The 26,512-nt window shown below is 49.5% G+C and overlaps 2 protein-coding genes across 36 annotated transcripts in view, besides 6 other annotated features; one reads left to right on the top strand and one right to left on the bottom strand.

Annotated features, from left to right (window-relative positions):
• The window catches only part of LRRC27 (leucine rich repeat containing 27), a 51,446-nt gene extending 28,869 nt beyond the window's left edge, over positions 1-22,577 (bottom strand). For 9 of the 25 annotated variants that reach the window (XR_001747213.3, NM_030626.3, XM_011540209.3 and 6 more), the window contains exons 1-7: positions 20,384-20,447; positions 18,906-19,163; positions 14,945-15,075; positions 10,369-10,427; positions 7,990-8,142; positions 4,284-4,656; positions 887-1,033 (exon numbers count right to left, since the gene is read on the bottom strand). Coding sequence is in view for 24 of the 25 variants with exons in the window: in NM_030626.3 (NP_085129.1) it covers positions 887-1,033; positions 4,284-4,656; positions 7,990-8,142; positions 10,369-10,427; positions 14,945-15,075; positions 18,906-19,115 (1,073 nt within the window). In the remaining variant the exon portion in view is untranslated. Of the gene's footprint in view, positions 1-886; positions 1,034-3,582; positions 3,678-4,283; positions 4,657-7,989; positions 8,143-10,368; positions 10,428-14,944; positions 15,076-15,218; positions 15,301-18,905; positions 19,164-19,533; positions 20,448-22,347 lie in introns of those variants that run through there. The other 16 variants (NM_001143757.2, XM_024448208.2, XM_047425794.1 and 13 more) reach the window with 8 other exon arrangements.
• Positions 13,049-13,203: a silencer, noted in NCBI's record as "fragment chr10:134152941-134153095 (GRCh37/hg19 assembly coordinates)". NCBI's record gives its function as "represses an EF-1alpha promoter that drives an FKBP-Casp9 reporter gene in an ReSE screen in HepG2 liver carcinoma cells {active_cell/tissue: HepG2}" and the evidence as "EXISTENCE:reporter gene assay evidence [ECO:0000049][PMID:32094911]".
• Positions 16,857-16,916: an enhancer, noted in NCBI's record as "active region_4224". NCBI's record gives its function as "activates an Ori minimal core promoter by ATAC-STARR-seq in GM12878 lymphoblastoid cells {active_cell/tissue: GM12878}" and the evidence as "EXISTENCE:reporter gene assay evidence [ECO:0000049][PMID:35858748]".
• Positions 17,267-17,396: a silencer, noted in NCBI's record as "silent region_2955". NCBI's record gives its function as "represses an Ori minimal core promoter by ATAC-STARR-seq in GM12878 lymphoblastoid cells {active_cell/tissue: GM12878}" and the evidence as "EXISTENCE:reporter gene assay evidence [ECO:0000049][PMID:35858748]".
• The window catches only part of STK32C (serine/threonine kinase 32C), a 124,754-nt gene continuing 118,646 nt past the window's right edge, over positions 20,405-26,512 (top strand). For 6 of the 11 annotated variants that reach the window (XM_011539688.2, NM_001318878.2, XM_047425112.1 and 3 more), the window contains exon 1: positions 20,760-21,204. In XM_011539688.2, coding sequence (XP_011537990.1) covers positions 20,904-21,204 — 301 coding nt within the window. In that variant the 5' untranslated portion in view covers positions 20,760-20,903. Of the gene's footprint in view, positions 20,487-20,759; positions 21,205-22,154; positions 22,350-22,643; positions 23,090-23,710; positions 24,861-26,512 lie in introns of those variants that run through there. The other 5 variants (XM_017016100.2, NM_001318882.2, NM_001318883.2 and 2 more) reach the window with 5 other exon arrangements.
• Positions 20,626-20,745: a silencer, noted in NCBI's record as "silent region_2954". NCBI's record gives its function as "represses an Ori minimal core promoter by ATAC-STARR-seq in GM12878 lymphoblastoid cells {active_cell/tissue: GM12878}" and the evidence as "EXISTENCE:reporter gene assay evidence [ECO:0000049][PMID:35858748]".
• Positions 20,626-21,164: a biological region, named in NCBI's record as "H3K27ac hESC enhancer GRCh37_chr10:134144980-134145514".
• Positions 20,630-21,164: an enhancer, noted in NCBI's record as "H3K27ac hESC enhancer chr10:134144980-134145514 (GRCh37/hg19 assembly coordinates)". NCBI's record gives its function as "activates a minimal SCP1, AML or CMV promoter by ChIP-STARR-seq in primed H9 embryonic stem cells {active_cell/tissue: H9 hESC(primed)}" and the evidence as "EXISTENCE:reporter gene assay evidence [ECO:0000049][PMID:30033119]".

The following is a 26,512-nucleotide window of genomic DNA, read 5'->3' as shown; positions in this document are numbered from 1 at the left end:
CCACACGGAGCGCTGCACCTGCGCCTGCCCCACACGGAGGCCTCAGCGCCTGCCCCACACGGAGGCCTCAGCGCCTGCCCCACACGGAGGCCTCAGCATCTGCCCCACACGGAGCGCTGCACCTGCGCCTGCCCCACACGGAGGCCTCAGCGCCTGCCCCACACGGAGGCCTCAGCGCCTGCCCCACACGGAGCGCTGCACCTGCGCCTGCCCCACACGGAGGCCTCGGGGCTACAAACAAGGGAGCCCATGCACGCAACGCCCTGCAGACCACGAGCGCTGCACCTGCCCCACACGGAGGCCTCAGCGCCTGCCCCACACGGAGCGCTGCACCTGCGCCTGCCCCACCCGGAGGCCTCGGGGCTACAAACAAGGGAGCCCATGCACGCAACGCCCTGCAGACCACGAGCGCTGCACCTGCCCCACACGGAGGCCTCAGCGCCTGCCCCACACGGAGGCCTCAGCGCCTGCCCCACACGGAGGCCTCAGCGCCTGCCCCACACGGAGGCCTCAGCGCCTGCCCCACACGGAGGCCTCAGCATCTGCCCCACACGGAGCGCTGCACCTGCGCCTGCCCCACACGGAGGCCTCAGCGCCTGCCCCACACGGAGGCCTCAGCGCCTGCCCCACACGGAGCGCTGCACCTGCGCCTGCCCCACACGGAGGCCTCAGGGCTGCAAACAAGCGAGCCCGTGCGTGGCGCTACAGACCACAAGGGGCACGTGCAGCTCGGCTTCCAGGTGAGGAAGAGACGGATCCTGGATCAGCATCAGTGAGGGGAGAACTAACTAAACACTTCCACGAGGCCTGCCATAAAATCACAGCCCAGTCCCAGTTCCGGGTGCACTGGGCGGGCTGTGCGGACCCCCACCCTGTGTGGACTCACCGTCTCTGCTGCTCCATCAGAGCCTGCTTCTCCTGGAGCTCTCGGAGCGCCGCCGCTCGGCTCTCTTCCAGTCTTTTTGCTCGGATCGCCATTTGGTACGGTGACAAGAGGTCGGGTAAGATGCTCCTGGAGGAGGCTGTCTTCCTTCTAAAATTACAGAGTGTTTTTAGCTGAATGTTTAACAAAACCCTGTGACGGTAATTCATACAACATGTGAAATGTAAAAGGAGGGCCTGTGGATCATCCGCTCATCTGAACAATTAGCACGACTAGAAGCTGCAGTCACCCCAGAGTCCAGTCTTGACTGTTGATTTCAGGACACGTAATGAAGATGTGTGGATGGCAGCAGGACACTGTCCCAACGCGCCCACTGCCAGCCAGCTACTTTCCCGGGACGCTTGACAGTCGGCTTGGGAAATGCACCTGAAGGACGTGCAGCCTCGGCAGCTGCACCCGACCTGCTTGAGACCAATGCCGCACCCTTGTCTGACCTGGACAGAGATGCCCGCGGAAGCAGGGGGCCTGGCCAGCAGCTCGCCCGGGCTGGACGATGTGACGTGCCTGGAGTTCAGGTGCATGGGGTGGTGCTGCAGCAGGTCGGAATCCCATCGCTGGGTGATGTGGGAGCAGGGGGCGGGGCAGGCAAGGCCATCAGAAGGCGCCTGGCCTCCACAGACACATTCAGGCAGGGTCAGATACTGGGTCCCCCTTGAGGGAAGCCCGCAGGACAGCAGAGGGGATAGCCAGTAACATGGTGGGGTCGCACGGTGCTGGGGACTCCCTCTCCCTGCCCATGAGAGGGAGCTGACAGGTGTGCCTGGTGTTTCCTCCCAGTGAAAACACCTGGGGAAAACCAGGCTGGAGATAGGGGCTCTGAGCCCAGGACTGAGAGCCAGCCAGGTTCCAGAACATGACAACTCCTCACCATGACCCTTGCATCAAAGCAGTTTAAGAAACACAACTGGAAGCCCTGCCTGGTCTTCCCTCTGAAACCAAACACTTCGCCCAGAGGAGAAAGGCCCATCCCATTCCACGGCCTGCCCTGTGCAAAGCCTCACACCAGCAGCACATCTTGGGAGGCCACAGCCAAGCAGCATGCCCGGTGGCCACGTCCCAGGAGGCTGGCCCGCCCCCCCACGCTGCATGACCTTCCACCCTCATCTTCCCCGTCTGCACGGGAACAGCAGTGACTGTCCCTCGTCTTCCCCATCTGCACGGGAACAGCAGTGACTGTCTCAGTAGAGCAGAGAGGGCAGGCATGGCCTGTGCTCTGGGACAGGGGTCACCTGGGGTGCGTGCTGGGCACTGGCCTTTAACCTGCTGCTTTTGGAAGGGCAGGTGGCCCAGGCTCTATGGAACACCAGGCTTCCCCTTGTGGTCTCAGGGTCCTGAGGGGTATGGAGGAGCTGCCCCAGAGGAAGGCCTGCTGGACGTCAGAATCAGGCTGGGGCAGTGATGCTCCGTCGTACTCCAGCTCCATGTTTGATGACTTCAGAATGCTTTGATTCCCTCCCAATATAATTTTGGGATTTCAGGACCAGACCATTATTTACCTATGATTTTTACATAACATCACTTTTCTTGCAAGTATTTTGGACATGAGCACTCAGCCTTATAAGCAGGCCCAGGCCACACGAGTCACCTTGGACCGGGCCTGCTGCTCTCACCATGCCCACTGCTCCCTGGCCAGAGAACACAGAGGAGCACCAGCTTCCCGAGTCCCAGACCCTCAGGAAGGGCCACCACCCTGAGCGCAGACCAGGGCCATAATCTTAGAGCTTCTTCTTAATACCTGTGACCCCACGACAACCTGACCAAGTGGGGAAACTGAGGCCCTGATAATGCATGTGAGACCACAACCACCCCGTGGGAAAGCTGAGGCACAGAGTGGTTCTCTATGGCTCACCCTGGGCAGAGGCAGCAGAGGGGGAAGACAACACTCAGGGCCCACCCAACCATGGGGCAGGGGCTCCAGGTTGAGGCTTCCTGCCAGAGACTCCAGTTCTCTGCTCCAACTTCCCAAGCCACCCAAAGCAATCTCCGAAGGCTAGGGTCTAGTATCCAAATCTGACATATTGATCAAATTATAAGTACGATTAATAAGCATACCACAATTCACTTGGATTAGCTATTATTAGGGTCCCTAACAATAAATAAATATTTGAAGGGAGGAGGGAAGAAAAGAGGTTTCTAAGCAGCAGGCTCAGGATATTCCTGCCCTTTCACCGTGCGACTGTGTGGACTAAGAACACCACAAGCGTGCTGGAGCGTCCGAGGCCTCGCTGTAGCTGGGAACCTGCTGTGTGTGCTGCTAGGACATCCTACCCTTTAATCTTTTAGTGATGCTTCCAAGGTTTGTTTTGTTCTGTTTTGAATGTTCAAACCTACAGGACAGCTGAAAGATCAGGGCCATGAGCGCTTCATGCCAACACCTCCGGGAAGGTCTGGTGCCACTGTGAACCTGCTCGTGCTGGACGCTGCGTGGAGCCTGAGGGACCACAGACCACTGCGGCCTCCAAGAATCTTCACCCCCAGGAAGCCATTGTTGTCCCCTCGGCTATGACAATGTGCCCCTTGAGAATGCATGATCTAGATTCACCAATTGTTATTTTGCAGCATTCTCTCTCTAGATGTTTACACACACACAGGCACACACACCACATGCAGGCACACACACGCACACCACAGATACATACCTCCCATATGTGTAGGCGCACGCCCTACCACGCCCATGATTCGAGTTTTTCTCTCATGTAGTCTCTGCAGAGCCTGTTTCCTAGGGACCCTTGTCCTGGGTGTGAAAGGAAAATAAAATCTCGGCCCCCAAACTCACTGTACCAAAGGCAAAGGCAAGCTTTGGAAGTGGGCCACACAATGACTGCCTTCCTTTTGTCCCCAGGCAGCTGCCATTTATTTTCTGCATAACTGACCTTTCCCCCAACTCCTCTCTTTTCACAGGTAAAATGTGGATTCAGTGAGCACTGATCGAAGCCTCACAAGAATGTGCCCACTTGGCTCACTGCCTGCCCCCACTTTTACTGTTCTTTCCTCCTTTCCCTGCTGCCCATTCTTTCTCCTTTAAATGCTGACATCCTCAAAGCTCTCTCTGGAGAAAGCACAGGCCACAGATCTCACTGTCGCTTATGTCTCTTTTCCCCGGGCGTATCCTCAACCTTGGCAAACTCAGCCTCTGAATGGACTGAGCTCTGCCGCAGATGCTCCGGGCTTGATGCGGGTCCCCGTTACCCTAAACCTGGGACCGGCACTCACTGCACAGTAAACGGTGGCAACGTGGAGGACACTTTAAAAGCTGGACCTGATGTTTTCAAAGATAATTTAAAATAACTGTATAAATTCGCAAAGATCAAGAAAATCCCCCGTTGCTTTTCAGTTTTACCTGAAAACGTGTCTTGGCTTTGGTAGTTCTTTCTCAATGTTCAAGGCCGCCTTGAGATTTGGAGGTAATTCCCTCGTCAAGAGCTGATCTCCCAGAACGTCTGCCTTCACGTGCTCAACAATCTCCTGCCTCAGCTTCCAAAAGCGCCTGATCTCCTCCTCGCTGGGCCAGTTCTCTGAGGAGTCCGCAGACTTCCTGAGTTCACTCAGGTCTGGCTTTTCCACAGGTGGGAGAAAGCTGGCCTTCTCTTTCATCACAGCCCCCTCTGGGTCCTGAGCGTTCACAGCTCCTTGGTTAGACGCGTGGTCTCCAGACAACTCCAGTCCTGGGCTCGGGAGGTCACGGAGGGTCATCTCTCTAACCGGTGGAGCCTCTGGGAGAGTAAGAAACCGCTTTAGTAGCTACCATCAACGCCATCCCTCTGTGACTTATTCAAAAAGCCAGTGACGGCCTGGATGGTGGGGGGTGGGGTGCCCAGATCCTCCATGGCTGCCACGTTCCCTGTCAATCCAAACAATTCCCGTCACCCCACCTGCCACCTGCACCACGCCAGCCTGCTGCGGCACACAAAGCAGTTCCACATGGAGGGAATGGAAACAACACTGCCAGAAGCACACCTGGACTCTCCCACACAGGCCCCACCAGGCGCACCTGACCCTCCCCGCAGGCACCACCGGGCGCACCTGACCCTCCCCTGCAGGCCCCACCAGGCCCCACTGAGCACATCTGACTTTGATGCAGGCCCCACTGGGAGCACCTGACCCTCCCACGCAGGCCCCACCGAGCACACCTGACTCTCACGCAGGCCCCACTGGGTGCACCTGACCTTCCCATGCAGGCCCCACTGGACATGCGTGACCTTCCCACACAAGCCCCACAGGACACATGTGACCTTCCCACACAAGCCCCACTGAGCACGCCTGACCTTCCTACACAGGCCCCATGAGACACGCCTGACCTTCCCACAGAGGCCCCACCAGACACACCTGACCTTCCCACACGGGCCCCACCGGACACGCGTGACCTTCCCACACAGGCCCCACTGAGCACGCCTGACCCTCTCACACAGGCCCCACCGGGCGCGCCTGACCTTCCCACATAGGCCTTACCACTTTGGAGGGACTTTTTGCATGTGTACACAGGGCAATCTTGCCACATTTAATCAACATTTCTGCTTCCCCTCAGATCACTTAGAATCTTTGTTTCTAAGTAATGTTTAGCCCATTATGCCTGCTTTTCTTGTTTGGTGATGCTTTTGTTGACTTTCTCAAAACACGACCTCAGAGAGGCACTCCAGGCACTTTGGGAGCCACTGGGACCTATTGGCCAGTCTTCTCCCAGCACGTGCCCAGCACGACCTGAAGGCTGAGTGAGACCCCAGGTGGCCGTCGCAGTGGACACAGGCGCATGGACATCACGCCCCTGGCTGCCACATGCTCCTGACTGCTGCGTGCTCAGGGTCTTAGGTTTGAAAGGAAAAGTTTTAAAAAATGGGCAAACATGCTTCAAAACGTCCTAAGAAGTTGTAAAATTCCCCCTGGGGTACAAGTGACTAGAAACATGCATATTTGACCAATCTGCCTGTGGACAACTGATTTAGGGCCAGGGACAAAACTGAAATTCATGAAAATGAAAGCAAACAGGAAGAGTGGGATACAGCAAAAAGACTTTTATTTATTTATTTATTTTTTTAAGACGGAATCTCGCTCTGTCATCCAGGCTGGAGTGCAGTGACACCATCTTGGCTCCGCCTCCCGGGTTCACACCATTCTCCTGCCTCAGCCTCCCAAGTAGCTGGGACTACAGGTGCCCACGACCACGCCCAACTAATTTTTTGTATTTTTAGTAGAGACAGGGTTTCACCATGTTAGCCAGGATGGTCTCAATCTCCTGACCTCGTGATCCGCCCGCCTCGGCCTCCCAAAGTGCTGGGATCACAGGCGTGAGCCACCACGCCCGCCAGCAAAGACTTTTTAAAGTAATTGAAAGGACAAAGTACTAAAAATATACATAGTAGCTGAAAAATCACTCTATGTGGCCCTAAAACCTAATAGAAAAGAGTCAGAAAATACTTATTTTTGACCAGTTACTTAATGTATTTTTTTCAAACTTACAGAAAAGTTGCAATAACACCGCTGAGAAGTTGATGGACCCCGCACCCCATCAGCAGCCGCTGGTGCCTGGCCCCCGAGGCTGCTGCCCCCATGAGCCTACCCGCCCTCGCCTCTCTGTCTGGGGTGCTCATGCATTTCCTAAAACACTCAAGGGTAACTTCAGACATCCTGCCCCTCCACCCTCAGATGGAGATGCTCACACATCGCCATAGCGATTCACCAAAACCAGGAGCGTCCCATCGCTGACTTCTGTCATTTACTGGCTGGCCTTCCTCACACCTTGATAACTGTCCCAGTAATGTCCTTTATCATATTTGTCCTGGCCCAGGATCCAATCCAGGATGAAGCATCACATCCAGTTTCCTATTCCTTTAGTCTCCTTCAACTGGAATGAACCTTCAACTTCTCCTCTTTTTTATCCTGATCCTCCAGCAGGGTCTGTCCGTGTCTCCTGTGCTCCCTGTGTCCTGGCTCCGGCTGTGCCTGACGGTTCTGCCCCTCCATCCTTGTCCCAGCTGTCTCCAGGTCCTGGTCCTATCTCTCCTCGGCCACCCCATGCCCTCAGCTACCTGCCCCCACTCCTGCCAGGTGCCCAGTGCCCTCCACACTGCCAGTCCAGCGGCTACTTTTCTTTTCCTATTTTTATCACAACATCCTGGCAGCATCGGGGTCAAGGGTGCCACAGCCAGGCGGCTTCAGCGCAATGCCCCAATGCAGCCACTATAACCTGGTTAAAATATGTCTACAAACAACTCAGCAAGCACAGGGCCAACAGCTGACTCTTAATCATTTAAAACAATTTCCAAATAGAGTCCATCTGGGTCAAAAGTGCAAGGCCACACGTTATTTACGAAGACCTAACCCACACATTTCAATTGCAGCACATCTATAATCACCTTGGCTAATGTTCCAAACATGCATTTTTCTTAAGTATCAAAGTACATCACAAATAGTAAAATTTTAAATATTCTGACAATATTTCAGAATATGTACTTTTTTTGGCAAGGCTTCATTATGATTCTCCTTTATCCCAATTTAACTTTACCTTTTCCAAGTGTAACTACAATGCGTACTCAAGACCAGAACACATCATGAGCATCTGAAAATACCTGGCTGGTCAGTATGTTGAAAGAATGGAACAGGTTAGTGAGCACCCACCAACAAGGTGATTAGATAAAACATGTCTACAGGGCCATTTTCCTGCTAATTTCTTGTACCTCGTTAGGAATAAGGAATATTTCATTGTACTTATTTTAAAATAGCTGCCTAATGCAGCATCAAGTCATTCCTGAAGCAGCCGCCTGCGGGTGGCTTGGAGGTGATAACTGTTTCATTTGATTGATCACAATAAACTTCTACCAAAATCCACTTGAGCCAGGATCTATAATGTGCCCAGATTTATAGAACCAAGGAAAAGTCACAGAGATGACTGGGTCGGCCTGAGATCAGTGTACACTGTGTCAACTCAGCAGAGGACCCATGGCTCCTGTATTTCTCAGGATGTTATTAAAGAGAAGACAGGTTCTGCCCTGATTTTAAAAAGCTGTAACTTCAACGTTAATGTGATTTGTCATAAATCACCTCCTACAAACCTTGAGAAGTTGGATTTCTGGGGAGAGAGTGTTCTACTGCCCACATCCGCAGGAAGCGCTGGATAGCCACCAATCCCTTCTGCACAACGAGCTGAGGAGGGAATTCCAGAGGGCAGTGTCTTAGGTTCAGTGCTTTCAGCGTGGTTACGCTCCCTGCAGTGGAGGAAAAAAAAACTGTCAGCATTCTATATACCATTCTTGAAATGAAAATGAGGAATAAATAATAGTAACTTTTCACATTTTAAAATATGATTCTATTCAGTATTTGGGGGAAAATCACGTTAACAGATGTCAAAGATTTGCTTTAAAGGTAACTCTGCAGGAGACGGATTCCGCAAATTAAGACCAGGATGGTTTCCAAAAAACAAATAAATAAAATCAAACAAACAGAAGCAGCCACAACCACCTTCACAATTCTGTAAAATTCAGAATACAAAGTCGCTATATTATCTAAAATGCCCATTTTCCACATAAAAACTACCAGACATGCAAAGAAAAGGAAAATGTACCCTACACTCAGGAACGGAGCAGACAATGGAAACTGTCTTGGAGGAGGCCCAGATGTTGGGTTTAACAAAGACTTCAAAGCAACCATTTAAATATGTTCAAGCAAATGAAGAAAATTGTGTTTAATTAGAAGAAAATAGAATACAAGGACTCCACAAATGTGAAATGTCACTAAAAATGGAAATTATGTGAACTTGGAGGCTTTGGAAACGATGGCCGCTGAGAGGTAAGGCTCCCGTGGTGGGCAGTGGGCTGGTGGGGGCTGGCTCACTCCCCAGGCTCAGGGCGAAGTCCCCGGAATGAGGAGCACGGGGAAGCACTGCAGGGGCCCTAGTCCTGTGGCGTTTCCCAATCTGAGGGAGCCAGGGTTCAGTGTGAAAGATGGATGCTTGGATTTTGGGTATTTGGGTGTCCCACCTTTCAGCCGCGCTCGCTTTTCACATGTAGGTTAAGTATTAGGCTCTACAAACTGCAAATGCCTTGTTGGCCCTGTCCATTAATGGGCTCTGCCCTGAGCTCACTGGTCCAGTTGGAAAACAGAGACTAAACTAGAAGCTACCTATCTAAATGAAATTCGTTTCCTTATCAAATCCTGTGGCAAGTGACTCTGTATTATCTTGTCATCCATTTTTAGTCTTCAAACACACCCAAACTCCTTCTTTAAAAAGCTTAAATTCTCTCTCTGTTCTTTGAAGTGTAAATTTGCTATTCTGTTTTCTCTAAAACTGTGTAAGGGTTCCAGCCATAACTCGTTCCATTTACAAAGGCACAATTTAACCTAACTGTTCTTTTATTTTTGTTTTTTGTTGTTGTTGTTGTTTTGTTTTTAGAGAGAGGGTCTCGCCCTGTTGTCCAGGTTGGAGTATAGTGGTGCAATCAGAGCTCACTGCAGCCTTGAAGTCCTGGGCTCAAGTTAGCCTCCTGCCTCAGCCTCCTAAGTACCTAGGAACACAGGCATGCACTACTGCACCTGGCTAATTTTATTTTATTTTATTTTTTGTAGAGATGGGGTCTCACTATGTTACCCAGGCTGGTTTCAAACTCCTGGCTTCAGGGGATCCTCCTGCCTTGGCGCCCCAAGGTGCTAAGATTACAGGCATGAGCCACTATGCGTGGTCTCAACTGTTCTTTTAAACTAATGAGTTTTATCTGATTCATGGCTAAAAATAAAATCAAAGCTATACAATCTTAATGTTTGTACTTTTATGTATACATGCGTATACATGTCTGTTTTTATACTGTCTACATGGTAGCAAGTGACTTACAAATAAATGAGTACTCATAAATTAGTTCTCCAAAATGCTTCTCAAGTTCATAATAGAAATGCCTTCAGAATTTTAGACATTTTTTCCTGGGCTACTAGTCCGACAAATTTATACTGTTTCTGCTAGATATTTTAAAGGTCATAAAACTTGCTTCTGTGATAGTTTACGCTTGTTTGATTTGTCTGTCAGTTTATGCTTTTGGTTTTGAGTGTTTAGATTCTGAAGTCTAAAAAAGTGGTCATGATGGGGCCTAGGAACATACGTAAGTGGTAAAACTTCCCAGGAAGGCCAGCGAGATGCAGCGGAGACAGCACGCAGGGCCTGCAGAGGTGTGTGCGGGGCCTTCAGTTTCCTTAGCTGTGTGACGGCGCCAATGGCCCTCACTGTGACTGTGCCTCACACAAGGCTCACACGTCACACCTCCATAAGAACAGTACGTGCTATATCAACAGTTCTTGAGAGCTACATTATCTTGGTCCTAGAAGTAGGAAGGATTTTTAAAATATCTAGCTTACCCTCCTTTGTCATGCCTGATACTTCCATTACAAGGTCTGGCAAGTTCAAAAGATAGCATTTTAAAATCATCTTTTTATTATTTTATACTTACCCAGCTCCACAGGTAACATTTTGATAGGATTTCTTTCTAAAAGCAAAGTTTTCAAATGCCTTTAAAGCAAAACAAAACAAAAAAATTTAAAAAGCAAGATTTAATTGACTATCTCCAAAATATACCATCAAGTTTCTTCATTTTTCTTCTCTTTCAGGGGCAACTTCAATACAGATACACTTAAATTTACAACATGTACACACAAATGGTCTGCTGTCATATGCAAACACAGGTCTAAGCCCTGCACCGCTGACACATGGGACCAGGCAGTCCATAGGGGTGGTGGTGTCCCCTGCTTTGCGGGGTATTGTACACCTCCAGCCTTTCTCCAACAGATGCCAGGGGTACCACCCACCCCCAGGCGTGACAACCACAGATGTCTCCAGACATTGCCAACAGTCTCCTGGGGGTAAAATCTCCCCGTTAAGAACCTCTATTTTAGGCTTTCACACCTTCCAGTTATAACCTCACTGTAAACCAGTCTTTCCTAAGATGTGCAGTGAGGAATCCCAGTGTTTTATCATGCTCTGTGAAAAAAGTTTTCTACGGCCAAAAATGTTTGAGAGACTTCCACCGCACAGTATAACCTGCCCTGCTTGGAGATGAATGATTCATACACTGGGGACTCTGAGAAGCCTCTACGTAAGAAACTCAGCTAAGGCAGCATTTCGGGAAGGCATCTACTTTCATTTAACACCTAGTAACATCCTTATAAAATGCAGCCCAAAATATATCATGGATGCCTAGACAGACGGACAGGAAAGAATGTAAAAATTTACTAGTTGAATGATGGAAAAATCTATATATTCTATTAAACTCTATTTTGTAACTTTTATTGTACTATGCTTCTTGGTTTTCACATTTAATTATGATGATTATTTTTTGAGACAAGGTCTCCACTCTGTTGCCCAGGCTGGAGTGCAGTGACACAATCTCAGCTCACTGCAACCTCTGCTCACTGCAACCTCCGCCTCCTGGGCTCAAGCAATCCTCCCGCCTCAGTCCCCGCAGGTAGCTGAGACTAACGGTGTGTACCACCATGCCTGGCTAAGCTGAGACTAATGGTGTGTGCCACCACGCCTGGCTGAGCTGAGACTAATGGTGTGTGCCACCATGCCTGGCTAATGTTGGTATTTTTTGTAGACACAGGGTATTCCCATGTTGCTGAAGCCAGTTTTGAACTCCTGGGCTCAAGTGATCCTCCCGCCTCAGCCTCTCAAAGTGCTGGGATTATAAGCATAAGCCACCATGCCCAGCCCTCATTTAAATTACCTTTAATTTTTTTATTGGTAACCCCACAGGAAAATCAGATTACTTAAGGTTTAGACAATTTTCTTTCTACTTACTTTCTTGGATTTTCCTTGTTATTTGAATTTTTTTTTTTTTTTTTTGAGATGGAGTCTCACTCTGTGGCTCAGGCTGGAGTGCAGTGGTGTGATCTTGGCTAATTTTTTTGTACTTTTTTTTTTTAGTAGAGACGGAGTTTCACCATGTTGGCCAGGCTGGTCTCGAACTCCTGACCTTGTGATCCGCCCACCTCGGCCATTCAAAGTGCTGGGACTATAGGCGTGAGCCACCGTGCCTGGCCATTATTTGAAGTTTTTAAGGAATAAACTTTATGAAGCAAACTTTTCTTGAACTGCACAAAAGTGGATTATTTCAATGTGGTTCGTTCAGTTCACTGTTTTTGGTTTACTCCCTCTGAATTTTGCTAGTATAAAACCAGCCAACAAGAACAGCATCTGCTCTCTATAAGGTGAACAGAGGCCTCCAGATGCTGAGGAGGGCAGCAAGAGCAGCACCACGCTCTCGGCTTCTCCAATGCTAGGGCTTTGTCAAGGCAGAAAGGTTCTGGCCCACTCACGTGCTGCTGGGTGGGGCTGGGTTCGGTTTTGCCTGAGAGGGATTGCGGGGGGTGCATGTTTACTGACTATTAACCTGAAAGTACAGCACGGGTTTTTCTACCTTATATAATAATATTATTAAAATATTCTGAGCACACTTTAAACGATAAATTGATAAATGTTAATTCCTTAAATACTATCAATAATTCAAAGCTTACCCGTTGATTCGTTTCATTGATTTTAAAATGAATATATAAACGTAAACGTTGAGTTGGACTTGTTGGCCTAAGGAGGTAAATGAACGGATCCATGCTTCCTACATCTTCTCTCTGCCAGCAAGCTGACACATCCAGGACACTGAGAAGGTGGCATGCTAACACCGTCACTGTTTTAATTATGTTTTGAGAGGTTTAAGGCTTTAATAAGCCCACAATCACTTTGTATTTCCGAGTAATATGTCTCAGCTCTGTAGTTGATCTAATTTGAATGTTATCATGGGTTACAAATCACAAATAAAAGTATACCTCCAAAAACATAGGCAGCCAGCTTTGACTAGCAAAATCAAAGAATTTCAAATTTTGAGGACTGTACACTTATTTTAGGGAAAACACGAGTAGTTATGGGAACAGGTCTTAGTTCATTTACATCCTCTGAGTAGCACTTACTCTCCAGAACTGTGTAAGGCTAAAACAATTTGTGGACAAAAGAGCACCCAGTGATTCTAAACCCAGAAGATGATGATCGTGTGAAGAAGAAATCCTTCCCAAAGCACTCTCAGCCTCAGGCTTGGAAGCCTCCCGAGGCCGTGAGGACAGGGTGGACAACTGCCCAGAGAGCACCTGGCTCCCATGCAGCTCCCAAAACACAAGCGGCTGGCCGGGCTCGGCAGATGTACCAGCTGAGCCCCGGAACACTCTTCTCCTCCAGGTCCGTCTGTGGTCCGCCCTGCAGACCCCAGAGTCCCTAGGAGCCCCATGGAGATGCACCGGGTGTGTTTCCACCTGCTCCGGACACCACCTATCATTAGATAAGCAGCTTCCTCGCAGAGCCTGAAGGGTGAGTGATGCATGGTTCCCTCCCATTACCTGTGGCAAAATACACTGACTTCTTATAAAACATTTTTAAAACCAGTGAGTTCAAGGCAAGTGAAGGGCCTCCTACAAGCCTCTATTCTACTGTCCCACGGAGGCCACCATGGCTCTTGGGAGACACCATTCCTCACGTAGGAACTGGGGGCACCCTGGATACCCCTCTTCTTCTTGTGGCCCCACACCCACCCGCATCCCACCAGCTCTGAAGTCCCACCCAGGCCCTGCCGTGGCCAGCCACGCCCAGGCTGCCCCTCCTGCATGGGCTGCTGCCGTGGCCCCAGCTGATATGGGGCCTTCATATCAGCACTTGTCAAAAGAGGTTCAGGTAGCCGGGCGCGGGGGCTCATGCCTGTCATCCCAGCACTTTGGGAGGCCAAGGCAGGCAGATCACTTGAGGTCAGGACTTTGAGACCAGCCTGTCCAACATGGCAAAACCCCGTTTCTACTAAAAATGCAAAAATTAGCCGGGCATGGTGGCGGGCACCTGTAATTCCAGTTCCTTGGGAGGCTGAGGCAAGAGGATCGCTTGAAACCAGGAGGTAGAGGTTGCAGTGAGCCGAGATCACGCCACTGCACTCCAGCCTGGGAGACAGAGCAAGATTCCGTCTCAAAAAAAAAAAAAAAAAGAAAGAAAGAAAAGAAAAAGAGTTAAGGGCAATCATGGCTTCAGAAGGTGAAAAAGCCATGGCGCCGGGGATGTGGGCACAGAAGCAGAGAGCTCAGGAAAGGAGGACGTCTCCATAGTGAGAGTAGAGTCCTGGCTGCTGGGGAAGGGCCAGGCTGAGGAGGGGAAAGGAGGTGTGACGTTTCCACCATGGGCAGGATTACACCCCACAAGTGGGAATGCAAGGAAACTCCTGGAAGGGAAGTGGTGGAAATGGACAGGACACCTGGAGCTTGGTTGGGTGCTCCCAGTTTTCCAAAGTGAGAAGAATTTCTCACTATTTGCCAAGAACCAATGTGGGTTACCCAGGAGCCCTCAGGAGCAAAGGAGCTGGTTTATTTTTTATTTATTTTTTTTGAGACGGACTCTTACTCTGTCACCCAGACTGGAGTGCAGTGGTGTGATCTCAGCTCACTGCAACCTCTGCCTCCTGGGGTCAAGCAATTCTCCTGCCTCAACCTCCTGAGGAGCTGGGATTACAGGCACCCACCACCACGCCTGGCAAATTTTTGTATTTTTATTAGAGATAGGGTTTTGCCATGTTGGCCAGGCTGGTCTCAAACTCCTGACCTCAGGTGATCTGCCCACCTCGGCCTCCCAAAGTTCTGGGATTACACGCGTGAGCCACCGCGCCTGGCCAAAGTTGCTGGTTTAACTCATCAGAGGTATTTCTGATTTTCAGACAGCTTCACACAAGGAGAGTCAGAGCTGGAATCGGCTGTGACAAAAATCACACTGGCTGCCCAGCAAAAAGACACTGTGGCTACAGCATTCTCTGTGGCACCAAATATCCCAAGTTATAGTTCTGTGTTGGGTACATTCAGCCGTCGCAACCTCTTAGCTGGCTTTAAAAATACTATTAAATGTTTCTATTCCGAGGTAAAAATTTAATCAAGAGTAAAGGACAAGGAGCGAAAGAACAGGCACTCGTGCACTGAAAAGATGATTTTTAAAATCTGGAAACATAAACAACTTACTGGTGAGCTCCAATCCCAGAAGGAAGCGCTTTAATTCTATTGTACCGGAGGTCCAGCCAAGTCAGGTTCGGAAGCAACTGAAAGAAATCTTGAGGAATCACACACAGGGCATTCCTTTGCAGATGCAATTGCTTCCATGGAAAAGAGAATCAGAGAATGTTTTGTTAACCAACTAATTTGTAAAACATGATATATCCAAAATCTATTTCCAAAAGAACTACTAACAACCAGAACCGTATATACTAAGTTAAAAAACAAAAACCCAATCTCTTACCCTTAAAAGATGTAAACAGTAGACAAAAGAATCAGAAAGAAAAGAACCAGGACTCCTTCCGGCGGCCTTTGGAGCCGGAACTGACTTCCTGAAGAGCCGGCACTCTGCTGCTGACCCAGCACACCACTGTTTCTATCCCAAAGCCTTTGACATGGTCTGAATTCCGGGGCCCCACACTCAGTGTCTCGGCCGTTTCTCCAGTGCCTGCCGCAGCACCTGGCCCTCGGCAGCCCCCGAAATCGCCTGCTTACTGAGCAAATAGCCAGAGCCATGTCTGGTCTGGGGGACTCAGCCCAACTCAATCATTAAAATGAAACTAAAAGACAGGGACAGAGATGTCTGCCGTGGTGTTCTCTACGATCAGCAGCAAACAAAGCCTCAGCGAGCAGCATTTCAGAAGCAGATTGACACATCAACTCGGTGGCGTTGTAAAGTCGTGACAAATAAGGGAAGGTGGAAGATGAACGTATACACGCTGATTTTAGCTGTGTAAAATGCATATAACATTCACACAATTTTACAGTCACAGTGTGGAAGGATCATAGCTAATTTTTACAATACTGTCATTAATGCTGCTAGTTGTTTATACTCACATTATTATATGTATTTATATCCATATCTGTATTTCCTGAGGGAGTAGAAACAGATGTTCGGAACAATGATCTCAAAGCCAGACTGCCTGGATCCACATCTAGGTTTCAAAATCTATTGGCTGTGTGACCTTGAGCAAGTTCCTGAACCTCTCTGTGCTCCAGTGTCCTCATCTGTGAGACGGGGCAATGTGGGCAAGCACTAAAGAACAGTGCGTGGATTGGCTGTTGTGATTACGTTGCCTTCTCTATGAAACACACACTGCACATTGCACAGAGCACCACATGCCTCCCCATTCCGCCCTCAACACCGTGTCCCTGATCCAAATCACTGACAGATTCCAACTGGAGAAACACTGACTGGAAAAATCACACTCTTCAGAAAGGCACTGGAAACACTATCTTATCTCTGTTAGGAAATTGCCCGAGTCACTGCTTGCTGGCAGCTGGCTCGGTCTCCAGAAAGCATCCTGGCAATCACAGGTCACAGTGTGTGCCCCCACGTATATGGGTGTGCACCCCCCACATACAGGCATGTGCATGCCTCCACGTGCTGCCTTTCTCGGGCCTCTGCAGGAGTGGTTTTACACTTCTTGGTCCTGTTCTTCCCCCCCCAGGGCAAGCTGATTCCAGTGCTCAGCTTTGAAACCATGTCGTTCTCAATGCCAGTAAAAGGAATCTCAGAAAGATAACACTCTTCTTCCTCCCCAGCACCTCTGGAAATGCAGGCACCACCTGTGACTTGGAGCTGGTTATGGTTGAAGGAAATAATATATACAGTGGTCCATTTCCAAGACAAAGTGCCTTGAATTGGCTTAGGTCAGCAAACTACAGAAAAACAGGATGTACTAGGCCCCTACTTGGATAGCCGATGCCTGCTTGTTGGCCATTCCCCACCCCTTAGTTGCCCTCACCCAAACCAAAGAAGATTAGTCTAAGATGAAAGTTTACTAGCCCGCAAAATAGCTCGTTTTGTCCGTTCTTATCAGCCTGCCCAGCTACTTAGGTCATAAATCAAATACTTGAAGAGCCCCTGAGCTGACTGGGATTGCAATGCATTGTGGGCCACGACAAAATAAAGCAGGACAACCCTAAAGAAAATACCTACAGCCCCTGCCCAACAACCAATAGGGAACGTCCAGGAAGACTGCGACCCTATAGTACTCTGCCTATGAGGAACCAGGGGAGGAACCTGCACCGTACAGCCCCTACCCAACAACCAATAGACGACATCCAGGAAGACTGTGACCCCCCCCATAGTACTCAGCCTATGAGGATCTGGGGGAGGGACCTGCGCCCTACAGCCCCTACCCAACAACCAATAGACGACATCCAGGAAGACTGTGACCCCCCCCCATAGTACTCAGCCTCTGAGGATCTGGGGGAGGAACCTGTGCCCTACAGCCCCTACCCAACAACCAATAGGCGAAGTCCAGGAAGACTGTGACCCCCATAGTACTCAGCCTATGAGGATCTGGGGGAGGAACCTGTGCCCTACAGCCCCTACCCAACAACCAATAGGCGAAGTCTGGGAAGACTGTAACCCCCATAGTACTCAGCCTATGAGGAACTGGGGCAGGACCTGCGCACCAGGGGATAAATGGCTTGTTGTAACCCTGCTGGGTGTGCCTGCCCATCAGACACCCAATCTTGCAAGACCGTCATTAAAAAGTCTTTCTTCCACTGTTCTCTGAGTCCATTCTTTGGGTTTGGATGGGTAAGTTTGTTTCTCATGTGGTGAACAGTGAGGTGGCTATGTCACAATACAAATTCCATCTTTCCTATTAGGTCCTGGGAGCCTCATGTGAGGATGGGGGATCTCTGGAAGTGCTGTTTATGACTTTAGAGACTGCAGCCACAGCGGCAGAAAGTCTACCACTCTGATTACCACATTTAAAGACTCTATGCCATGGTAATAAAATTTATACTGACATTTGTCTTCTGAAAGGTATAAACAGTTATCAAGTTTCTTCATCAAGCCTGAAGACCTCTGGAATTTCCTCCTTCTCCCTTTGTGCATAAAGGTAACAGAAACCTCAGGGCTCTGCTGGATCCCTTATTCAGGGCTGAGGATATCTGTTCATTAAAAGTGACACCTGTGTAACAGGAGCCAGGACAAGGCAGGTCCCTGTGACCAGTGCCTCACCCTAGATGTCAGCATGAAGGAAAGAAAGAGCAAGACCAGCGCTGCCGTGACAGCAAAGACAATGCAAATGTAGAGTTTATAACTTAAGCAGCCACTAAAAATCTAAATATGTAGCTCTTGTAGAAGCACTCAAAAATGTCAATCTGGCCAGGTGCGGTGGCTTACACCTGTAATTCCAGCACTTTGGGAAGCTGAGACAGGCAGATCACCTGATCTCAGGCATTCAAGATCAGCCTGGGCAACATGGTGAAACCCCATCTCTACTAAAAATACAAAAAGAAAGTCAATCAATATCATAACTATGTTCCAGACACTGAACTTTCACATTATTCATTTTCACAATAAATGATGTGAAAACATGATCATTCCGACATTCCAGATTAAACCAAATGAGGTTTAAGGAAATTCTGTGAGTCCCAGCAGGGACAAGTGCTGCAGGGGGAACCCTCAACTGTCTAACATCAAACCTGTGCCCTCACAGAAGCTTTCTCTAGAAATCACATGGACAAGACAGCATCTACTGCGGACTGACCCGGAGAAGGGCCGGGCACAAAGTAAAACCAGTGTGTAACATGAGCAAAATCATGGGTGAGAACAAAGTTTTTAACTGCTCATGTTGCCTGATTTTCTTTAAGGTTTTGTGTTTTAATTAAGAGACCAAGCGTGTTTGGCAGTAGTTTCTACCACAGGTTTTGAGAGATGAACTGCAAGGAAGAGAACAGACACCTTCATCTAAATAGATGTACTATTTCCATTGGTTGGTCCCCATCATGAATTTCCCATTTTGTTGTGATTGGCGTATGAAACTATGAGTTAACCTTTCCTCTATTTAATTTTAGAATTCATCAATTCCAAAGAGAAAGAAGCCTACAAATAAAGCCCAGGGGTACATTCCCATTTCTGTCTATAGGGGACCTGTGGGCACACAGCCTGAGGAGCAGCCCCACTTACTTGAAGGCTGGGGATTCTAAAGACCTCCTCCAAACGGCACAGACCACTTTCACTCAAGTCTAAAATCGGTGAGGAGGAAAAGATGATGCCTCCAACACCCTTGTGAACATCTTTGGAGGGGGTGGCAGGCAAGCTCCTAGTCTGACCAGCACCCTCCTCCAGATCAGCAGCAGCCACAGAGGGAACTTCGTAGGAGCTGCTTCCCTCCATCCGTTCTCTTCCAGGGACAGCAGCTCATCCTCCTTGGTCTGGAGTCACCTGGAGACACGGGAAAGGGAAACGTAGAAGCAACTAATTATACCGAGGCAAAACAGAATAGCTGTGTGGCAGATCTACTGTAATGTAACTTGCTTTAAAAGCTATCATTTTTCCTAAGCAGTAGCAAAAATTTGACTTTTAAACATGTAAAAAAAAAAAAAAGGAATACAAAGAGGTTCAGATTAAAATTCTCTGCTCTCACTTTGTACAATGGAGTTCCAAGATTTAACTCCTGGAAAACGCAAAGGCGCACAATAGTAATGATCATTTTAGGGATGTAAACAGATCGGAACATTTCAAAGCCTGTAAATCAACTGCAACGCTTCCATGAAATGACTAGGGGCGGGTGGAAATTTGCACTGTTTCTTACCTCTGGTGTGGTTCTGTGCCATTTGAACTATGTTTTTAGTTTCTTGAGGCCAGGAAGCCTGTCTTTTGTTTACCATTTTGACCCAGTGACCAGAACTAAGTCTGGCTTACACCCAGTTAAGCACCGGGGAAAAACCTGTTAAATTAATCTCGAATTTTCGTTGTCCAGCAACACTTTTACTCAGAAGTATTGTTCACCAAAATCTCATTCAGCGAGGCACACTTCCACTTGCAATTTCCAAACAATTTATTCGGCAATAAGAATCAACGTTGGAATGCATCAGTTCACCTAATTCAAGTCACTCAACAGCCCAATGATTGGCATATGAGGCGCAGATCAGTTAGGGAACTGTTCCAGGGGCGCAGTTAATTGGGGGGTAGAGGCGACACCGGGACCCAGCAGGGTTCAACCCCAGGCAGCCTGCATTCCATGGAAGCCCGCGGGCTTTTTCACGGTCAGTTCACTTGTTTTCTCCGAATCACGGAACTTAAAACAGAGGAGGGGAGGCTTCAAACCTCAGAACAGGGAAAGTATCTTAAAACCAGAAGTGAAACAACAGCCTGGACTCACACAGGGCCCAGGCAGCGCAGGCTCCGTGGGGTTTCCGAGGCTGCCTTCAAGGGATCCCCACGCACGCCCACCCCCGCTCCCTGCCTCGATTTCCCCATCCGGGCGAGGCTGAGTTGGGTCCGACGCTCTGGGCCTCACATTCCAGGCCTCAGAAGGGCAGCCTTTGCGGTCAGCATCGCGGCTGGAGCTAGGCGACAGGGCACGACGGGCCGAGGCACCACCTTCCTGCCGCCGCCCGCCTCGAGGGCTCAGCGAGCTGGCCGTACCCGCCCCGTCTCACCTGCCGCGTCCCCGCCCACTGAAGCGCTGGCGAGCCCCGCCGCTGAGAGCAGCAGCCCGACAATGGAGGCCACCCAGCCAACGCGGTCGCCATGGAGACGCCGGTACGGAATCCCGCAGGCGCCACGCTGAGCGCGAGTGTGTCTGTGATGCGCCTGCGCGAGGGGTGTGGTGCGCCTGCGCGCGGGGGTGTGCGTGTTGTGGGGGTTTGTGCCTGCGTGCGGGGGCGGGGTGTGGGTGCCCCTGCGCGGCAGGGGGTCGGGTGTGGTGCGCCTGCCCGGGAGGGGGCGGGGTGTGGTGCGCCTGCGCTGGGGCGGGGGGTTGCGCTTGCGGTGGGGGGGTTGTGGTGCGCCTGCGCGGGGGTGGCAGGGGGTGGTGCGCCTGCGCACGCACGCGGCCAACGGTAGCATCCGTTTTTCCGCGCCCGCGGCCTTGAAGGGGTGGTGGTCGACGGGCAAGTAGAGACCGCGAGGGTCTGGAGGGGCGACCGGCCTGGCACAGAGGGGAAGGAAGAGAGCGGGATGCTAAGTGCCGTCTGGGGAGCCGGAGGGCCCGGGGCGGGCGGGGCTGCTCGAGGACAGCCGAGCAGAAAAGAATTGCTGCTGAGGCACCACCTTTGGAGCGGTCCTCGCTGCCTGTCCTTCCCGCTGGGCTCACTCCCCGCGTCTCTCCTGGGGCTTCCTGGAGCCACTTCCCACAGGAGCTGCTTGTCCCCAAATCTTGCCTCAGGACTTGCTGCCAGGGGAACGCAGACTCAGAGCGTCCTCTTTGGAGAAGTAAGGCTGCCTCTGGACGGAGGAGTGAGGGGGGCGAGGAAACGCAGTGAGTGTCCTGAGGAAGGGTTTTGAGAATTTGGAAGAAGATGAAATGACACCGGGCGGGAGGGGAGGTGCTCGCGTGGTCCTGTGGAACCCTGGAGTCCCGTGCACCTTCATTCCAGGATCCAACTGATAATGAAAAGTAGCACCCTCTGTCCCACCCAGAAACACTCTGGAAACCCGGACAGTTTAGCTGGAGTCTGCCATGATTTCACTTTTTTTTTTTTTTTTTTTTTTTTGAGGTGGAGTCTTGCTTTGTCTCCCAGGCTGGAGTGCAGTAGCGCGATCTCGGCCCACTGCGACCTCCGCCTCCCAGGTTCAAGCAATTCTCCTGCCTCAGCCTCCCCAGTAGCTGGGACTACAGGCGCGCGCCACCACGTCCAGCTAATTTTTGTATTTTTAGTAGAGACGGGGTTTCATCATGTTGGCCAGGCTGGTCTCGATCTCCTGACCTCATGATCCGCCCCCCTCGGCCTCCCAAAGTGCTGGGATTACAGGCATGAGCCACCGTGCCCGGCCTGATTCCACTTTTTAAAGGAAACGACATAATTATGTGGAGAAACGACTATCCACTTTGAGGGGATTTACGTTTTATTTTTGTGAAGAGATCACAGTAAGAAATGTTTTTTAGGCCGGACACGATGGCTCACGCCTGTAACCCTAGCACTTTGGGAGGCCAGGGTGGGAAGATCGCTTGAGGCCAGGAGTTGGAGACCAGCCTGGGCAACCCAGTCTCTACAAAAATTAAAAAAAAAAAAAAAAAAAAATGCTGGGTGTGGTGGCACACACCTGTAGTTCCAGCTGTGTGGGAGGGTGAGGCAAGAGGATCGCTTGAACCTAGGATTTTGAGGCTGCAGTGAGTTATGATTGTGCCACTTAATGTCAGCTTCGGTGACAGCGAGACCCTGTCTCAAAAAAAAAGTTTTCGTACATACCCAACTATCTACCAATCAGGAAGCTGAAAGCACAACCAGTACCTTCTCAGGAGCGTGGGGAGGCCAGCCACCCGGGCAGAGCAAGGAGAGAATGAGGAGTGACATGGGTGTTGCCGTGAGTGGCGAAGGGGATGGAAGATTTCAGCACGATGCTATTTCTAACAAGTTTCAGCATTCCAGTATCTCTTTTCACAAATAAAACATTTACTAACCATTTGAGCGTATTCCCTCTTGCTTGTTATTGTTGCCTCAGGTTTTTGTTTCACATTTTTCATGCTACATTAATTTTTGTAGTCAGTAGTTAATTGTATGTACGAGCATGTTTTGCCCTTTACTGTGCTCAGTTTTTGCCCAGCCAGATTGTATCCATTGGTAGCCTTTTGGCAAGTATTCTTGGGTGAGCCTCCCAACGTAGGAACGAATGAAGTGTTCGTGTTGATCTGATTATTGAGTGGCTGTGGAGCTGGTGCCGCGTTCCTTGTTGAGTCATTTCCTGTCTTGATTTTAGGACCTTCCTCCGGGCAGCGACTGCTGCTACCCTGCCGAGAAGTTTGCTGCCCGTGGCATTGCTACTTCCATGAAGGAAATCTATCTTCTCTTTTCATGTCTTTGTTCTGAAATTTCGCTGTGGTATTTCTGAGTATAAGTTGGTTTGGCTGTGTTGCCTGGCGCTGGCCGTGTCTTCTCACCTGAGATAGCTAAGTTTCAGTTCCCAGCCCTTCCCGGCCATCTGTCCTCCCGTGGCACCTCTGCACCCTGACATAATTCTTGTTCTGGATCTCCTAAAAGGGAGTAGCTTGCACCCATTCAGTGTCTTCTCCATCTCTCAAACTGCGCTTCCCAGTATTGGTCTCTGTGTTCTCAGTTTACGATCTTCCAGTTTACTAGTTCTGTCTCCATCCAATTAGTTTGTTTAATCTGTTGAGTTTTTAAATAAAACCGCATTGGTCTCTATTTCTAATTTTCTTTTTTGTGTCTAATTTCTTCCAGTTTTTGTTTTATAATCTGTTTTTAATGTTCACGGCTGTTTTCTTTCTTTATCTACCATGAGAATCCCAAACACCTCTATTTATTTATTTTATTTATTTTTTGAGACAGGGTCTCAGTCTGTCACCCAGGCTGGAGTTCAGCGGTGTGATCTCGGCTCACTGTAGCCTTTGCCTCCCAGATTCAAGCAATCCTCCCACCTCAACCCCTCAAGTAGCTGAGACTACAGGCATGTGCCACCACACTGGGCTAATTTTTGTATTTTTTGTAGAGACGGGTTTTACCATGTTGCCCAGGCTGGTCTCGAACTCCTGAGCTCAAGCCATCCACCTGCCTCAGCCTCCCAAAGTGCTGGGATTATAGGCGTGAGCCACTGCCAGTCCTGAGCCACTGCCCGGGGTAGACACATTTATTTTAAACTGTGCTTTATTGTTTTCATCTCCCCTGGGCGGAATTTACCAGTTGATGGCTGATACTGTTATCTGTCTTCTTGGAGTCCTGTGTTTTGAAATCTAGGCTTGCAGGCTTCTGCAGAGGGGGCTTATGTTCTGTTTCCCTGAGTATTCACTGTGTGTCATGCTCTGGCAGGAGCCTCCGTCCAGCCTTTTGGGGTCATGCTTGGGTGCTTGCCTGGCCTTGCCGTTGGGAACTGTAGATCCAGTCCTGGAGCCAGCAAGAGGCTGGGCCGAAGGCTGTCCTCGTCTCCATCTCCAGATATCGCTGCAGAAGTTGTATGTTTTTTCACATTCCTTTCATGGAAGTGAAACCGCCTTTGCAAAATTATAACTGAGGAAATTATGACAGTGAAAGAGATCAGACCTAACCGATTCCATCTTGCTTCTAACTTTTAAGCTGTCCTTGTTCATTCCTGGGCATAGGCCAAACTAACCTTGGGAAGGAATTCAGTTCATGGTTTGACTCTGAAACAAAATGGGTAATAGCCCTTTCCCGAAAATACCCCCTTCTTGCCCAGGGACCAATCTGCCTTTGCAGGACTAACAAATTAGGTACAATATTAGACATTACAGGTTAGGGGTCCTGCAGCCTCTGGCTCCAAGAGTCTAAACCTCCCCAAATTGCTCCTGGGTATAACATCACTATTGTAAAACCCAAGATCAGAGCTTGAGATATTTTGCAAACCCTGCACTCCACAGATCAGCCGACACCACCCAGACCTGTAATCTCGCTCCGGCAGTTCGGGCACCCACCCAGGAGCAGAAAACAGCAAGGAAACCTCACTTCGACCCCCTATGAGTCCATCTCCAACCTGACCAATCAGCACTCCTCATGTCCCAAAGCCCCACCCTCCCAATTATCTTTAAAAACTCTGATCCCAGAATGCGCAGGGAGACTGACTGAGTAATAATAGTAGAACTCCGGTCTCCTGCACAGCCCGCTCTGCGTTAATTACTCTTTCTCCATTGCAATTCCCCTGTCTTGGTAAATGGGCTCTGTCTAGGCAGCAGGCAAGGTGAACCCATAGGGCAGTTACAGAGGCAAGAGACTTATTCCAGCCCTGGTTTTCAGCGATGCTCTTGGCTGTTCTCCACTACTCTCAGGCACTTTCTGCCCCCTCACTCTTCAGGGACAGCCCTCCCAAGCACCTTTCCCTCTTTCTGGGCCCAGAGCCCCCACAGGCCCAAAGTCTGGGTCCTGTGAGCTGCTATGTGTTTCTGATTCATTTTTGGTCTATGAAGTGTTGGTGGTTTTTAAATTTTTGTTTTAAAAATTACCTATTATAGGCCAAGCATGGTGGCTCACACCTGTAATCCCAGCGCTTTGGGAGGCTGAGGCGGGCGGATCACCTGAGGTCAGGAGTTTGAGACCAGCCTGACCAACATGGCGAAACCCCCATCTCCACTAAAAATACAAAAATTATCCAGGCGTGGTGGTGCATACCTGTAGTTCCAGGTACTCGGGTGGCTAAGGCAGGAGAATTGCTTGAACCTGGTAAGCAAAGGTTGCAGTGAGCCGAGAGCATGCCACTGCACTCCAGCCTGGGTGACAGAGCAAGACCCTGTCTCAAAAAAAAAAAAATTTGTTTTAAATAAAAATTACCTATTGTAGCCATGGTTGGGGAGAATTGTGGGAGGGCCTCTGTATTAGTTTGTTTTCATGCTGCTGATAAGGACATACCCAAGACTGGGAAGAAAAAAAGGTTTAATGGACTTAAAGTTCCACATGGCCGGGGAGGCCTCACAATCATGGTGGAAGGTAAGGAGGAGCAAGTCACATCTTACGTGGAGGGCAGCAGGCAAAAGGAGAGAAAGCTTGTGCAGGGGAACTCCCCTTTTTAAAATCATCAGATTTCATGAGACATATTCACTATCACAAGAACAGCCTGGGAAAGACCTGCCCCCATGATTCAGTTACCTCCCACCGGGTCCCTCCCACAGCACGTGAGAATTGAAGATGAGATTTGAGTGGAGACACAGCCAAACCGTATCAGCCTCTAAGCTTGAACTTGCAATACCATCTTGCCCAGAGAAAGTAATATTTTCCAGTACAGGAAATAAAACAGTTTTACTCTGCTTTAGTTTTTTTATGTAATCCCTTATTGTGAAGCTGCCATAAGTTATGTGTGATGTTTTTCCAGTAATTAATATTCTTCTACATTGTAAACCAAAAACAAAAGTCTGAGTCCCCCAACCAGCTGAATGGACCCCTCTTCTCTGTCAAGGGGATTCCAAAGAAACCTGAAACTAGTTCAGACCATGACCAGCAGTGGAGGACTGAGTGCACCTCCTAGTTCAGACTGTGACCAGCAGTGGAGGACTGGGCGCGCTTCCTAGTTCAGACCGTGACCAGCAGTGGAGAACTGGGCGTGCCTCATGATACTCCTCTCCTTTTGGGGTTAGACAGACTCACCAGCATTAACATTAAAATAGAGATCTTGGCTGGGCGAGGTGGCTCACGCCTGTAATCCCAGCACTTGGGGACGCCAAGGCAGGCAGATCACTTGAGGTCAAGAGATCGAGACTAGCTGGCCAACATGGGGAAACCCCATCACTACTAATAATACAAAAATTAGCCAGGCGTGCACCCATAATTCCAACCACCTGGGAGTCTGAGGCACAAGAATTACTCGAATCCAGCAGGTGGAGGTTGTAGTGAGCCGACATCACACCACTGCACTCCAGCCTGGTGGCAGGGTGAAACTTTGTCTCAAAAATAAAATAGAGGTTTTAAGACTGACAGAACAGACTCTGTAGCAATAAGATACCAACTCCAACTGACTCTGGCGTAATATCACATGGCAGATAAGGAAATCAAGATAATTACCCCCAAATTTGTTTATTTTTCATATCTGGAAATGGCCCTGCAAAGCTGTCTTTTGTGGGGCGGAGATTTGTATCTGTGAAGAATCTAACATAACTGGATCTTTACCCT

Source organism: Homo sapiens, chromosome 10, assembly GCF_000001405.40.
Source record: "Homo sapiens chromosome 10, GRCh38.p14 Primary Assembly".
NCBI lineage: Eukaryota > Metazoa > Chordata > Mammalia > Primates > Hominidae > Homo > Homo sapiens.
The sequence above is the reverse complement of the archived record's forward strand: the minus strand, read 5'-3'. Positions and strand labels throughout refer to the sequence as shown.